At 40.4% G+C, this 15720-nt stretch overlaps 1 protein-coding gene across 1 annotated transcript, besides 1 other annotated feature; it reads right to left on the reverse strand.

The window, feature by feature from the left end:
* Positions 1-1201: 1201 nt before the first annotated feature.
* Positions 1202-13337, reverse strand: KCNV1 (potassium voltage-gated channel modifier subfamily V member 1). The gene is made up of 4 exons (NM_014379.4): positions 13185-13337; positions 11494-12758; positions 9824-10353; positions 1202-6165 (listed from the first exon to the last, which is right to left on the reverse strand). The coding sequence occupies exons 2-4, from the start codon at positions 11952-11954 to the stop codon at positions 5654-5656; spliced, it is 1503 nt and encodes a 500-aa protein (NP_055194.1). The 5' UTR covers positions 11955-12758; positions 13185-13337; the 3' UTR covers positions 1202-5653.
* Positions 11826-12423: an enhancer, noted in NCBI's record as "H3K4me1 hESC enhancer chr8:110986489-110987086 (GRCh37/hg19 assembly coordinates)". NCBI's record gives its function as "activates a minimal SCP1, AML or CMV promoter by ChIP-STARR-seq in naive H9 embryonic stem cells {active_cell/tissue: H9 hESC(naive)}" and the evidence as "EXISTENCE:reporter gene assay evidence [ECO:0000049][PMID:30033119]".
* Positions 13338-15720: the final 2383 nt, after the last annotated feature.

Genomic DNA, 15720 nt, shown 5'->3' on the forward strand with positions numbered 1-15720 from the left:
AGTTTTACAGGAGTTGTAGGGGTGGTAGACTTATGTGAATTTTCCAGAAAGAATGAGAAGATAAACAGTGAATATACAAAGGGAGAGAGTGAGTATGGATACTGCTGTCAAAGAGTTTTGCCATAAAAAAGAGAAGAGAATTCGATGTTTTCTATTCTAGAGGATGAAATAGATTCAAGGAATTTTGACGGCTTGTTTTTTTTTTTTTTTTAATTTTAAGATGGGAAAAAAATCATGTTTGCGTGCTGACAGGAAGTAGGAAGCGGAAAATTTGATAATACAGTAAGAAGAGGGGAAAAGCTCTCTGTAGCAGCGTCCTGGAGTCGGAGATAAAGTGTGGATGGACGATCCAACCCTCGTAAAGTGAGGAAAGGCAGAGTTAATAGGCACAGATGGAGGTAGGTGGATAAATGTGGGTGATGACTCTTTTTTAAAAAATCTCTTCTGATTCTATTTTCTGAGTAAAAGCGGAATCCAAGGGAGGTGTTAGAGGTTTTTACTTGTCTCCGGATAGTGAATGGACTCAGGAATTGCCGTATGAGATTGCCTGGAAGCTTTAAGAACCCATTTGGGGTTGTAGGCATGAATGTAAAGTGAGAGCAGTCTGCAGGCATTGTGTTTTTCTTTGTAGGGCATGATCTGCTCTACAAGGGCAGGCACAAGAAGGCAGTGGATTGAATTTAATTAGGGTCAGGGTATTGCCAATTTAATACCAGGAAGGAAGAGAGGGGCACTAGAGTTGAAAAGGCAAGCAAGGGAGTGATTATAATATAATATAATATAATATAATATAATATAATATAATATAATGTAATATAAGCACAGTGAGAACATAAGGATGGTGAGTATCCAGGTTTCCCTGTCGTCCCTAAAAACGTACCAGGTAGGCAACTGCCGTTGATGAGTAAAGCTCTCCCTGTGTGACATTTGTCTTCCTTATATTAGTATGGCTTGGAGAGAGTTCTGGGGTGGTGATGCTTTGCAAAGAAAAATCATGAAGGAGATCATCAGAACACATCATTTGCCTGCTATCCAATATCTTGTTGGATCTGAACTGAAGGATTCATAAGACAGTTATTAATGGCTAATATTTCAAAAGAAGAGACTTTTCTTGTTAACATAATGTATCAATAAAAATATTTCTCAAAGTATTAAGCTTATCCAATGACAATGTTTTGCTTAGATAAATTGGGTCAGCATATATATTTTCTGCAACAGCTAATCAAAATATTTTAATAAGCATAAGAATTCCACATTAAAACACAGAACTGAGATTCCTACCTCAGTTATTTTTGCATCTAATCCATTATACTTGATACTACTTTGCATTAAAATGATAAATGCAACAATTTCTTGTATGTTATAGAAATAATATATACATAAAATAAAATATGAATATGTCACTCTTAATAGAGATACCTCAGTAATTTCTTAAAATTGCTTTTTTAGGTACTTAAGCATTGCCTATATGCATTTAAATGTCTGAAAGTAGTGTTTTCTAACAGGCAAAGATTTCATGATGAAGACACAAAAGGTGGTTGCAACGAAAGCAAAAATTGGCAAATGGGATCTAATTAAACTCTAGAGCTTTGTCAGAGCAAAGGAACCTATCAACAGAGTGAACAGACAACCTACAGATTGGGGGAAAATATTTGCAAACTATACATCTACAAAAGTCTAATATTCCAGCATCTATAAGAAACTTAAACAAATTTACAAGAAAAAAAAATCCCATTAAAAAGTGGGCAAAGGATATGAACAGACACTTTTCAAAAGAAAACATACATGCAGCCAACAATGATATGAAAAAAAGCCTCAATATCACTGATCATTAGAGAAACGCAAATCAAAACCATAATGAGATACCATCTCACACTAGTCAGAATGGCTATTATTAAAAAGCAAAAAAAAAAAAGCAGATGCTGGCGAAGTTATGGAGCAATTGGAACGCATATACACTGATACTGGGAGTGTAAATTAGTTCAGCCATGTGAGAGTGTGGCAATTCCTCAAAGACCTAAAAACAGAAATACCACTGGATCCAGCAATCCCATTAATGGGTATATACCCAAGAAATATAAATTGTTTTATTATAAAGATACATGCACACGTATGTTCAATGCAGCATTATTCACAGTAGCAAAGACATGGAATAAACCTAAATGCCCATCAACTGTAGACTGGATAAAGAAAATGTATGTATACACCATGAAGTACTATCCAGCCATATGAAAGAATGAGATCATGTCATTTGCAGGGACATGGATGGAGCTGGAGGCTATTATCCTTAGCAAACTAATGCAGGAAGAGAAAACCAAATACCACATGTTCTCACTTATAAGTGGGAGCTAAATGATGAGAGCACATGAACACATAGAGGGAAACAACACACATTGGGGCCTATCAGAGGGTGCTGGGTAGGAGGAGGGAGAGAATCAGGAAAAATAACTGGTGCTAGGTTTAATACCTGGGTGATGAAATAATCCGTGCAAAAAAACTCTCATGACACAAGATTACCTGTATAACAAACCCGCACATGTATCCCTGAACTTAAAATAACAGTTAAATTAACAAAGAAAGTGGCTAACACGGTGAAACCCCGTCTCTGCTAAAAATACAAAAAATTAGCCAGGCGTGGTGGCGGGCGCCTCTAGTCCCAGCTACTCGCGAGGTTGACGCAGGAGAATGGTGTGAACCCAAGAGGTGGAGCTTGCAGTGAGCCGAGATCGCGCCACTGGCACTCCAGCCTGGGCGACAGACGGACACTCCGTCTCAAAAAACCAAACCAAAACAAAACAAAGAAAGTAGTGTTCTCTAAATAGCTTAGAGAAAGACAATAATTCAATTATTTTATATTTTAAAAAATTAAATATTGTTTTATAACAATAATTCTTAGATGTTTAAAAAGTGTTTACTGTTTTAAAATAATGGGTTATAAAATTGGCAGAGTTCCTGCCTTGATTTTTTTACCTAAATGAAATTTGGTTTGCTTATATATACATTCATTGAATAAATAAAATGATATTTTATTTAACAGCAAAATTGAGTAAGCAATGATATTTTAAAACTTCTTTCTGAAGACCTACATCTTGACAACATTTATATAGCTAACAGCACATTTGTAGAGAAGATGTTTAGGATCCTCCATGATAAAAACATATATACATATGTATACACATAGTTTTTAATTTTTTTTATTTCCAACTACTATTTACTCTAAAGATAATATATTTTTAATCTAATAATGACTATAAGGTGTCACCACAGCCTTTTCTTAAAAGCACCATTCCACCTCTGAGAATAAGCTGATATTTTACTTAAGGCATATTGAACTTCTCCATGCACAAGAAGTTGGCTTGCCTGCCTAAAAAATAAATTTCTATGCAGAGCTTGTGTAGGAAGAATGAAATCTGCAATTTGACTTTTAGGAGTGTCGTTTTCCGGGTCAGGCAGATTGGTATTCAGCGCTGGCTCTGCCATCTATAGCCTGTGTGAATTTAGGCAAGTTTATACCTTTTAATGTTTCAGTTTCGCTGTCTTTTCCTCACACACCTTTGAACAGAATATTAACTACAAGAAAACAGGACCTAGTCTTGTTTAAGAAAGACTCCCTAGTCCCCAGAACACCAAAGATCCTTAATAAATATTTGTTGAGTTAATAAATATATAAAATATGTATTTTGAAGAGTATAAGAATAGTAATTATATAATAGGGATATTTTGAGGATAAAATGGCATAATACATGATGAATACAGAGCATAGTCCTGGATCAGAGTAACTATTCTTATTAGGGAAAGTTCTAGAAAAGCTGGAGTAAGTTTACCTTCTGTGTCTAACTTCTACTTTCCCTTCAGATTGTGGAAGGGATTTATACTATGACTAGTGGCCCTGTGCCACAATCTAGCACCCATGTATGTGTGTAAGAAGTAAAATATTTATCTTACTAATATTCATATCTCCTGAACCTTTTATAATATTTAGGAGAAGTGGAAACAAGTTAAATGAATTAAAGTACTTTAGCACACAATCTAAAACTCATGCCATCAGTGAAAATGTTTTCAGAGCTTAACCATGCATACCAGAAAACAGGAGGTAGTACATGCGATATTTCATTGATTTTAAGGTGCTTATTTTAAATTTTTACATATCTGAAATCCGGATGCATTTTACAGTTAATGGCATCTTACAATTGACTGGCATCTTTCTTTCTTGGTAGTGCATAGCATAATATGATGTCTTAAATAGAGTTTATGAAATACCTTATAGCTATATATTAAAGCAGTCCTCAATGTTTATTTCTTATCACCATTCACCCCTGGCAAAGAGCCTTCTAGGCTTTTTTCCCTAACATCTCACCCCCATGAAATGTTAATACCACAGATATACTCAATATGCTTATCTGTGTTTTGTAAATGAAGTGATAAGATTTTTTTTTCCTCAAGAACCAATTTTCTTCCCCTTGGGGGCTCTATTATATTGGAAATGTAGGTATTAAAGTGATGCATTCCTTGTTATTCTTAGGTTGTAGAATCTCATTTACTAAAATAATGGGAATCATGAGCTAGTTCTTAGCTTTAGAGGTTTTGGCTTTAATTATATAATACAATGTCTAGGAATTGTGTTGTTATGATGAATGTCAAAATGCCTGCAAAGTTTGAACATTTGCTATTTACCCCAACAATCAGAAAGCTGTCCATAGTATTTTTTTGTTAACAAGTAAAAGATCTTCAAGTTCATCCAGTGATGTCATTTAACATATATTTCCCATTTTATGAAATAAGATTATTTAGTAATTCCAGTGTAGAAATTTAGGATGTTCACTACCTCACTTTTACATATTCATTATTTTAAAGCCATAATGTGAACAATACATCCATAAAGAGACATTTAAAGACCATCTGATATTCATGAAATACTAAGAAATATGCTGTTTTATGCTCCACATACTACACTCAGTTGGGAGAATGAAGATGTGCAATTGTTGAAGTCTTTGTGTAGACTCATGTACTGCAATCTAAGCAGTTTTGGGATTCCCACCTCTTATAGTAATAATGGGATACAGAGATCAGTTCATTTGTGACCAGTGGTTTACATGAAAAAGAAGATAGGGATATAATCTCTGCCCATCAAATATGGGTTTTCTCTTGTAAAGCTAAGTATTATATTCAATAGCTTTAACTGATAGAGAACGGAGTAATTTATGTACTTGGATAATATCTTTAAATAGCAAAGTTGTTCAATATGTTCTTAAATATTTACTTATCTTTCTCTGGGCTATGCAGTTTACCTTCCATTTTTAAAAAATTAGTGGTGCAAAAAACTTCTAATGTTAGTGATACATAAAATCTTTAACTTTTTTGTATGTATTGCAATAACATTATTTTATATTTGACAATTCAAACATGTTTATATTGGCCCAGTTGTATTTGGTTGTGTTAATTGGCTATTTTGGACACTCAAATGTGTCAGAACACTGTGCAGTTGTTATAGGTGATGTGAAATATTCTAGTAGATGAAGCAATATATCAGCAAAAATTAATTAAGATGAGCAGTACTCTGAAGAGACTCATCATCAGAATACAGAAATCCACATCACTGCTTTATCATTTTAGTTAATTGTACATAGCTTTTGTAAATAAATTGAAAATTAATTCAAAACCAGAAATCATCTCCCCCGCTGCTCCTAGTACTTGCTCTTTCTCTGCCTTTCAGTCGCAGCATCTCCATGATACTCCGGGCATAGACATCTCTCAAGTTAACACTGATATATGAGTCAGTGGCTATATTCTTGGTAAGCTTCTTTAGGGCTTCACGCTGTCTAACAGCTGCTTCCTTGAGTTTCAAGGTGAAGTAGCAAGCAGAGAAGCGATCGTTAATAATAGCAATAGGCAAGGCCAAGACAAGAATTCCCGATAATATACACATGAAGGCCACGATTTTGCCTGTGGTGGTGTCTGGTCTAATGTCCCCATATCCCACAGTAGTCATAGAGGTGGTGGCCCACCACCATGCACAAGGGACACTTGTGAAGGTTGTGTCAGGAATGCTTTGCTCAGCAAAGTATTCTACAGTTGAAAATATAGAGATTCCCACGGATAGAAATAGGAGCAGTAGGCCGACTTCTTCGTAACACTGGGTGATTGTCATCCCAAGGGAGCGTAATCCTGCAACAGAACAAATGCTGTCAGTCATTGGCATCCCTCTTCTCTCTCTTCCTTCCCTCCCCTCCCCTCTCCCTCCTTGCTCTGCCACCCACAAACTGCACTGCACACTTAAATGTCCCCAGCACTGGGCAATGTTCTGGGGATACAAAGTTGATTAAATCATAATCCTTGTGCCAGGAAGTTCACAGTCTAGTTGATGGGGCCAGGTTGAGAAGGCTAGAGAGAAATATAATTAGATTCATTAATTCACCTATAGAATTATTGAACTTCTACTATTAAAAAGAAGGCGAGAGGTAAGACTGAAGGCAGGCAGGGGTGGTATGATAGGAGTTTTGTACTTTAGTCTGTACAATAAGAGGCCTTTGCGGTGTTGCATGTGGAGGGCATATTTGGTCACACCTGCATTTCAATGCATCATTTTAGCACTTGTTTCAAATGCCAGTTTTATGTTGTCTTGTATTTTATGTGTCTGTTTTTCTCACCTTCCTTGTAAAGTTTAAGACAATCAGGAACCTGATTACAGGAAAGCCAGAAAAAGTAAACAATGGGCACCATAGCAACAAAGTGAAGCAGCAGAAGCAAGTTAGGCATTGGTGATAAAATTGACATGAGAACATCACATGTATATTCAGGGGACATTCTCAGCAGTATGTCAGGAGGAGGTCTGAACTCCCAAGACACCCACTGAAACCCTACTCCTTAATACCAAAGCTGTAAGAAATTATCTCCCTTGAGTACATAAAATTTCTGCTTTCCTATAATAACATAGACCTGAATACAGAATATTCCTCCATTGCAAAAAGGTATGGGAAATGGAACCACTAGAGAATTTACTCTTTATGAAGCATTGGCTGCTTTTCCATTCCTAGATCTGAGGATTTATTAAACCCCAGGGAGACAGAACCACGATAGTCCAATTCCGTCTCTGAAGACACTAGGCCTAAGGGGAGTAAGAGCCCATTATGGGCCGGGCACGGTGGCTCACGCCTATAATCTCAGCACTTTGGGAGGCTGAGGCAGGCAGATCATGAGGTCAGAAGTTTGAGACCAACCTGGCCAACATGGTGAAACCCTATCCCTACTAAAAATAGCAAAATCAGCCCAGCGTGGTGGTGCGTGCCTGTAATCCTAGTTACTCGGGAGGCTGAGGCAGGAGAATAACTTGAACCTGGGAGGCGAAGGTTGCAGTGAGCCAAGATCACGCCATTGCAATCCAGCCTGGGCAATAGAATGAGACTCCCTCTCAAAAAAAGAAAAAAAAAAAAAAAGAAAGAAAGAAAAGCCCATTATGGAACCAGGCTTTGAATGAACCATAAGATTTATTCCCTAATACTAGAGAGGTGGTTATTAAAGTTTGTCCACATTTTGAAATTATATCAACATGATGTCAAAATGATATTGCCCCAGAAGTCCAAAACAATACCTCTTAGAATCATTTTTTGTTTTTATTCACTCACTAGAGACTATTTCAAAGGCATTAGCATACTAATCATACTCTTAGGATTTTGAATTTTGCTCTTCAAATTTTGAGATATTCTTGAATTATTAACCAGCTATTTTTAAAGATCATTGAGTATTTTGAAGTTTAACTTCAAAAGAGTATCTTTCAGAATACCTTTATAATACCTTTACTTTTATAAAAAACTGGCCTTGATGTGTCTACATGGAATTATGTTCCTTAAATAAATTCACAGCATATGAGGAGATGCATAGCATTTGTCTGGGAACACTGTTTTAGTTTAAAGGCAAAATGTTCAAAACAATTTTGTAAAGGAAAACAAAGTGGGTGGAATTTCTAGCATGTTATCTCTATTAACTCAGAGAATCTTCAAAAGAAAGGATATAAGAGGGACATGGTAATTGTTATGCCATTATACAGACGAGGAGGCTGAGGCATAAAGAGATAGCTTATCTAGTAGAAAGCTACAGAGCCAGGATTTAAACCTAGTTTCTGGCCAAAAACCCATTATCCTATAACATCTCTCAATTTGAATTTATAATTAATACATGGGGAAATAGGTCATCTATGTGTACATTTTAATAAATGTAGTGTTGAGGCAAAATTGTCAAATATGCAAGTCACATATTTTTTAATAATTAAGGGTTTACTAAAACTTTATACTTGTTTTAGAATGGTGAAAATCTTTGAAGAGGAGACATTGTGGAAATCACTGTTATTTTCCTTTTCCTTTCTTTTGGAAAAAAATGTAGTTTTTACTGGGTGTTTTTAAATTGAGTCTTGTGAAGAGTTTATAAATACTTGAAGAAAGCATCCCATTATCTGTGTCAGAAAACAAAGAGTGGTACTTGTAAAAGTTATTGGAAACCCCATTATCAAATTCCTGGTATGTGAGACTAGCTAGGAAAATACACTACCAAAATTATATTATAATAAGTTCTAATTGTCAGAGAAATGTTGAAGAAAAACATATCAGAAGTAATTTCACCTGACATTTATAGGAAGGACAACTACCATCAACCTTTTTTAGGTGGTCAGTCAGGGCACATATCTAGGGAAATAAAATAAGGATAGTGATATCTAGCCAATTTGTTTGTGCTAATATGTATTTGTATCAACATATATAAAATTAATATGGCATCATACTCCAGTGTTTCTCTAGGTTTGGTCCAAGAACCACCTACATCAAAGTCATTGGTGAACTTATTATTTATAAAATGTGTGCTCCTAGACCCGATCTCAAGCTTTCTGGGGGTTGGAGCCAGAAGCTGTATTTCAACAAGCTTGCCTGGGGATCCTTATTTTCATTAAGGTATGTCATAAGGAAACTCATATACTCCACAATATCTGACAGCTGCAAGGCCAGCCACTGATAACTACTACTGTTGGGGATGCAAGAATCATTTTTAATCAGTTCCTGTGATTTTCACTGATATTGATTATAATTTTCACGTATCTTATGTGTTTGTGTGTGTGTTATATGGAGACTTTTCTAGGAAAATATTAATTAGATTTTCAAAGGCTCTGTGATACACAAAAAACTAAGGGATTTCTGTATTCCCCTCTCTCATACATCCCAGGTTAGGGACAAGAAAACCTTCAGATACTAGATAAAGCATTTAATTAGTTTATTTTGCTTTCTCCCAAAGCAAAATATTTTCATTGCTTCTTTGAAAATTTTGGAAAGGCCACCTGCACCTAGTCATTTCTCTTTCTGCATGGCCAGAGAAGGCTCTGAAGGGCTGACTTTCTCTTCTGCCAAGGAGCATATGTGGCAAGCACTTCTCGGATACTGAAGAGAAATTGGCTTATGTCCCTATATATCATATATAATTTATGTGTATCTTTTTATGTGTCATTTATGCCTGTTTTGTCCAGAACCTTGAATAGGCAGAGTGCGTTTAATTTTTGTATATCTTCTGGGTAATGGTTTCAAATAAACTGAGGTTAGCAAATGGTCAAATTGTCTCTCAACATTTCTCTTATGGAGAGGAGGTATGTGAGAGCTCATTTCTCTATACCTGTGATAGCAACTTCAATGTTTTGCCTCCCAATATCTCCTTAGAGGTCATGATCAGGTAAAGTATGGGAGTTGGTAATTTTGAATATCAGTTCAGCGTTACTTTCCTTGTACTGTGGTCAAAAAACGAATGCTTACATGCAATGGCAAATTAAAAGGCATCAGTGAAATGTGAATACCTGTGGAATGTCTGCCCAGCTTTAGCATGCGCAGAGCCCTGAGCAGCCTCAACACCTGGACAATGCGCCCCACGTTCTCCAGCTCCTGCGTGGTCTGGCTCCCACTTAGGCTCTCTACCAGAAGAGTGATGTAGAAGGGCAAGATGGCAAGGAGGTCTATGATGTTTGGCACCTTTCTTAGGAAGCGACACCTGTCCCGCACACACAGGAAGCGGAGGACAAACTCCCCGGTGAACCAGCTAATGCACACATACTCCAGGATTTCCAGCAGCTGCAGGTCCAGCCAGCTTAACTCAGCTGACATCAGGGCCATGTTAATGATGGACACCACCACGAAGATAATGGAGATGACGCCAAAGATACGGGCAGCTGTGGAAGATCCAGGTTTCTCCAGGATATTCCAGAGCTTCTGGCGAACAGTGGGACAAGGTCCTTGGGAGAAGTCCTGTTCACTCTCATGTTGACTTTCCTGGTCTTCTGTGTCCTTCTTGAAGTCTAAAGTTTCACTCAGCTCTTTCCTTCTGAAGTATCTTTTAGAGAAAACAATTTGGTGATTAGTCTAACTTTATTAAAATACAGAAGTATAAGATAATTAAACATGGCAGGGAGGTCAGACTTTTTCATTCAACAAAATGCAGAAAAATGTCTATTCATATTTTACTTAGGTTGTGTCTTACCCACAGTATTCAGAATTTCTCCCTTAGAATTATGATTATTTTTCCTTTTTTTTTTTTTTTTGAGACGGAGTCTTGCTCTGTCGCCCAGGCTGGAGTGCAGCGGAGTGATCTCGGCTTACTGTAGCCTCCGCTTCCCAGGTTCAAGCGATTCTTCTGCCCCAGCCTCCTGAGTAGCTGGGATTACAGGTACGCACCACCAGCACCCCCGGGTAATTTTTGTATTTTTAGTAGAGACAGGGTTTCACCATGTTGTCCAGGGGGGGTCTCGAACTCTTGGCCTCAAGTGATCCACCCGCCTCGGCCTCCCAAAGTGCTGGGATTACAGGCGTGAGCCACCACGACCGGCCTGGATTATAATTTTTAAAATGACACTTTCTTAGTAGAAGTGTATACATAGTAAAGCTACTTTGGATTAATACATTTTATTACCCATTTTCTGGTAAGAACAGATGTTTGGCAGGTGGAACTTTTTTGTGTGTGTGTAAAGGAAATGTATTCATGAAGAAATGGTAGTAATAGCAAGGTAACCTCAGAGTTCCACAATCATTCAATCAAGGGACCAACCTTTTATCTTCTATATTTAAAACAATTCTCCATTCAAGTTTTTCAAAGTCAGTGTTCTAGGTTTGATAAATGATAATGCTGCGTGCCAAATCTTTTATCCCTATGCATGCATTTTTGGAGCATGGCGTTTCTGATTCATTTATTCAGTCACCAAATATTTATTGTGGGCCTGAAGTCCCTTGCCTTATACGTTAAATTAGCATACTCAAAAAAGGGAACAAAGAGATTCAAAAAGTTCTATTCAAAAGTTGGCGTTGATGCTTTCCAGTCCCCCACCCCCACCCCACCTGTCAGCCCAGAAGTGGCCACACCTTATTGCTAGGCCTGGCTCCAGCGAAGCTTGTGTAAAGCCTCAAATCTACCTGTGCCTTCCTCTCTTTCTCTGCCGCGCCCGCCTCCCCGCCCAGCCGCCGCGTGCCTCCGGGGTACCTGTCCCTGCAGCAGGAATCGATGCTGAGCTCATCGATGCCCCAGTACTGGATCTCCTGCAGGAAGGAGAGCGCGCACAGCTGCTCCATGACATGCAGGCGGCCGGTGCGGTAGTAGTGCAGGACATATCGGAACGCCTGCGAGCTGCGGTCGAAGAAGTACTCGTTGTCCACGGGGTTGGCATCGTCGCAAAGCTCCAGAGGGCTGGGCACGGCGGCCAGGGCCCCGGGGCGGCGGTAGGAAGCCACCACCACGGCCAGCTTGCCAAGGCGCGTGTGCGGGAAGCAGGACAGCGCCTGCTGCGAGAGCACGAAGCGGCTGCCGCCCACGTTGACCGTGAAGCAGTCCCCGAGCGCCAAGGGCTCCCCTTCACCCTCGCTGCAGAAGACACTAGAGTCCAGGGAGGTCAGGGAGCCGCTGTCCAGCGGCGAGTCCAGCAGCGCTCTGCCGCTGGAAGGCATCTCTAACCCAGTCGCCGCGGCCTGAGGGCGCCACAAAGTTGGGGACACGCCGGAAGCTTTGGTCCCGCGAGGGCGGTGGCACGGCCCCTGGTGGCGGCCGGGATTCCCCGGGCTCCCGAAGGGGTTACCTCTCCTTGGCGCACCCTCTCCACCCGCTGTGCGCCTTCCTCCTCCTGCCGCTAGGGAGCCGGGAGTGCGCGGAAGCAGCGCACAAGTGGCAGAAAGAGGAGACAGGGAGCAGAGGAAGGGTCGCGCTAAGAGAGAGGATCAGGTGAGGTCCAAGCCCGACACAGTCCCTGTGCACACTGCCGGTCGCCCTGGCCCTTCCCAAACGTTGTCACCCCGCCTCCCAACTTCGCAATTGCGATTCCCAGCCCAGGAGGTGTACAGATTGAATGACTCGCTACTTGGTGGGTGGAGGGGTTGGGGAAGGGAGGAAGGAGGGAGATGTGGGGCGGAGGAGGAGGAAGAGGAGAGAAGATGACTCTTAGCTGAACGCAAGCAAGCAAGCAAGCAAGGGGGATGGCGAGACTCACTCCTGCCCGCAGGAGACCAAAACAAAAAGTTCAGAAAGCAAAGGAAGTGGTAACCGGGTCCCTTCCAACTTGAGAATTTATATTCCTCCCTTTTCTTTTACTGCTGCTTCATAGGCCTCCCCCGGGGTGTTCGCTGGGGGTGTGAGCAGGTGGGGGAGGGTTCTCTGGGTGAGGGGGCCGCACCATTTTCTCCCAATTCACTCTCATTCTAGTCTGATGATCACTGACGCTCCATTTTCTTCCGCCGTCTCCCTTAGGTTCTGACCTCCTGGTTGAGAAACAAGAATAATTAATGATGACTTTTTATTGAAGACCCAGTGGGTCACTAAGAACTAGGAGTGTCACTGTCAGCTCCCACCCTGTCGAGGGTCCACCTCGTGTTGAGGCACTTTTTTGAGGCACCCTTCCTTTTAACCATTTCTGTCCCTACAAGTTTCCCGGAGAGCAGGTGTTCTGAGCACAGCGGAGCTCTCATTTTAGAAGGAAAGGCAAAAAGACAAGGAATAGAACAAGCGTGGGCTGGGGCAGGAATTTAAATAGTAACGACGGCCTCCCTCGGTAAAGGGAGAAGCCGAGGCCAGCGCCCAGGTGAGACTAGAAGTGTACCCACGGGGCCCCTGGAAGCTGCGCTCCAGCCAACCTGTTGGACTCGGGGTGAGGAGGTGGGGGTGGGAGGGAAGAGCAAGTGACTCACCTGCAGCTCCCGGCACATCTGGTCTGCGCACAACCGGCGCCGCAGGTAACGTACTCTTCTTTTGATCCTCTTAGTCTACACGTGAGGTCTGACTCGACCGGTCCAGGAGGGAAACTGTGTTCCAGCTGAGCTCTACCCAGCGCCTGCTGCCTTGCCTTGCCCCGCCTCCACCTCCCTCCGGGCTCCTGGCCCCTGCGCTTACGCTAAGCGTGTCCGCCCCGCCCGCTCTAGCTCTGAGAGCCACTCGCCCAGTGCTTCCAGCACCAGCAGAGGGGAGTGGCAGGATCTAAGGGAGGGAGGTGAGACGGCGGGGGTGGAGGCGGGGGGTAGTGAGGTGCCCGGTGACACTCAATATTACATTCATCCTGAATACACTTGCAGAATTACTGCATTTGATTCCCGTTTCCCCGGATCTGTGCTTTTGTAAATGCTCCAGAGCAAAATTTCCAACTGGATCAGTGTGCTAAACTTGAGGTTAGGGCAGTTATATTAACTGCTTCATTTGGCATGGTTCAAGGTTTTCACATTTTCAGCAGGCATCTCAGAATCATGCATTTTTCAAGTCTTTGCCAGAGAGAGTGAACCACACTCATCTTCGTTGTTTTCTAGTATGTATATATAGAATACATATTGGAAAGCATATATTATGGATACACTTACATATATAAGTATATATTAGAAAGCATACACACACACACGTATTAGGTAGTATATATAAAGACATAAGCAGGCAGCCTGATGTAGTAGAATAAGCTTTTTCATAGATTGGACAGAAACGTGACTGTTTAGTTCTAGCTTTGCCAACTGGCTGTGGGACGTCTAGCTATCATTTACTTTGAGGGTCTCAGTGCCTTCCTCAGTGAAATTTCAAGCTTTAATGAAAACACCCAACATTTAATGGGTGCTTACTTTATGCCAGGAAATTTGTAGGCTCTTTATTCATGCAGTACCTTATTTAATCATAATGACAACACTATGAGGTAGCATATATCCATTTTACAGAAAGGAAAAGTGAGGCACAGGGAAATTAAGTGATTTGCAAAGGGCCACACAGTTCAAATCAAACCCAGGACTACATGTCAGAGGCTGCCTTCATAAACAAAATTCTAGAAACATTATTTTTTGTTGATAAATCAGTGTGATTGTTTTTATTTTCTTTGTTTACAAGTTTCTAATGAAGGACAGGAGTTTAATGAGGTATTTTCATCACTCTTTCAACAAAAGTTTACTGAGCATTCACTATATACTGGCACTATTCAAGGTACTTGCGATGTATCAATGAAGAATAGACAAGATCTCTGTTGTTGTGGAGCTTATAGTAATCCTCTGAGAATAAATGGGGGACTTCAATAAACTTTTTTAAACTATAATATTTATAAGCATGGTTCTTTTGACAGCCATCCATTTGGTTAACTTTTCTCCTTAAAGAACTCTTCCATACAGTAAATACAGAAATGCTAGAATTATCCCAGTCAACAGTTCTTCATTCTGTATAGGTACTGTATCGTTATTATTTTTTAATGTAGCAGAGCTTTCCCCTGCACAGCAAGAAAACTCCTCCAGCATCTCAATTGTAGATTATATAGGTATTGAAAAAAAGCAAAAGGCCATAGTTCTGTTAAGGCTTATTCATACCATGATTAGCAATGAAAGTCTATACTAGCTTTACAGATTATGGTGAGGAAAGAGGAAAGCATTCAAAGGAGAATGCCAGCTTTAGGTGAGGAGAGAGATCTTGGACAGGTAACCAGAGGTTAGTGAAAGATGACTGAGGCTTCCAGGTCTCCTCCCCTGCCAGTAAGCCACTGAACCTCAGTTATGATGAATGTTGTCCTGTAGAAGTAGTTATAATAACCTCTCCTTAAGAGTCAGGCTGTTTGCTACACATCTGACTTCTCACAATGATCCTATGAAGTAAGCATTGTAATCCTTAGTTATAGATTTCAACTTGGATGCTTATAGGCACTAAGAAAGTAACTTTCTACCTTACATAGTGAATATGTAAAGGGGTATGTGAAAGGCTTGAAACAGGCCCTTTCTGACTTCTGACTCTATCTCAACTGCTAACAGCGTAAATGTTTCAATTGGGCACTGATTGTAGTTATAGCAATTTACACTCATCAAGGCAATCATAACTAGAGGGATGATTAGTCAACATGGAGTATATAAATATAAATGACCCCTTTTTAAAATATAGAGTCTTGAGTAATACAAATCCCCACCTGTGCTCTGTGCCCTTCCCTTAAGTCTGTTGATTTTCCTTCCTTGATGGCCCAGATTTTAGTAAGAGACTCCAAGGAAGAGCATAACATAGAATAAGAAGGGAAACATGTCCACTTGAAAGATACTTCTTTTAGCCCTAATCCTGACCTGAGGTATAACCTGAGGCATGTCAAAGGAGAACTGCTGATAAGTAGTTGGGGGTGGTGAGGTCTTGCTTTCCATTTCATTTCTACATAGCATAGGAGGAATGTGATTGTCATGTGGGAGGTTGCTCAGTACTGCAATGTGAAAACTCGACAGTCTAAAGGCTTTG

This window comes from Homo sapiens, chromosome 8, assembly GCF_000001405.40.
Source record: "Homo sapiens chromosome 8, GRCh38.p14 Primary Assembly".
NCBI lineage: Eukaryota > Metazoa > Chordata > Mammalia > Primates > Hominidae > Homo > Homo sapiens.

What these genes read in the sequence shown, in the direction of transcription:
- KCNV1 (NM_014379.4), bottom strand. Translation starts at nt 11,954, where the DNA reads ATGCCTTCCAGCGGCAGAGCGCTGCTGGACTCGCCGCTGGACAGCGGC. An exon ending in GATTCCTGCTGCAGGGACAG is followed by an intron (nt 10,354 to 11,493) that starts GTACCCCGGAGG and finishes TTTCTCTAAAAG; the next exon opens with ATACTTCAGAAGGAAAGAGC. An exon ending in GCTGGGCAGACATTCCACAG is followed by an intron (nt 6,166 to 9,823) that starts GTATTCACATTT and finishes GTTCTGTTGCAG; the next exon opens with GATTACGCTCCCTTGGGATG.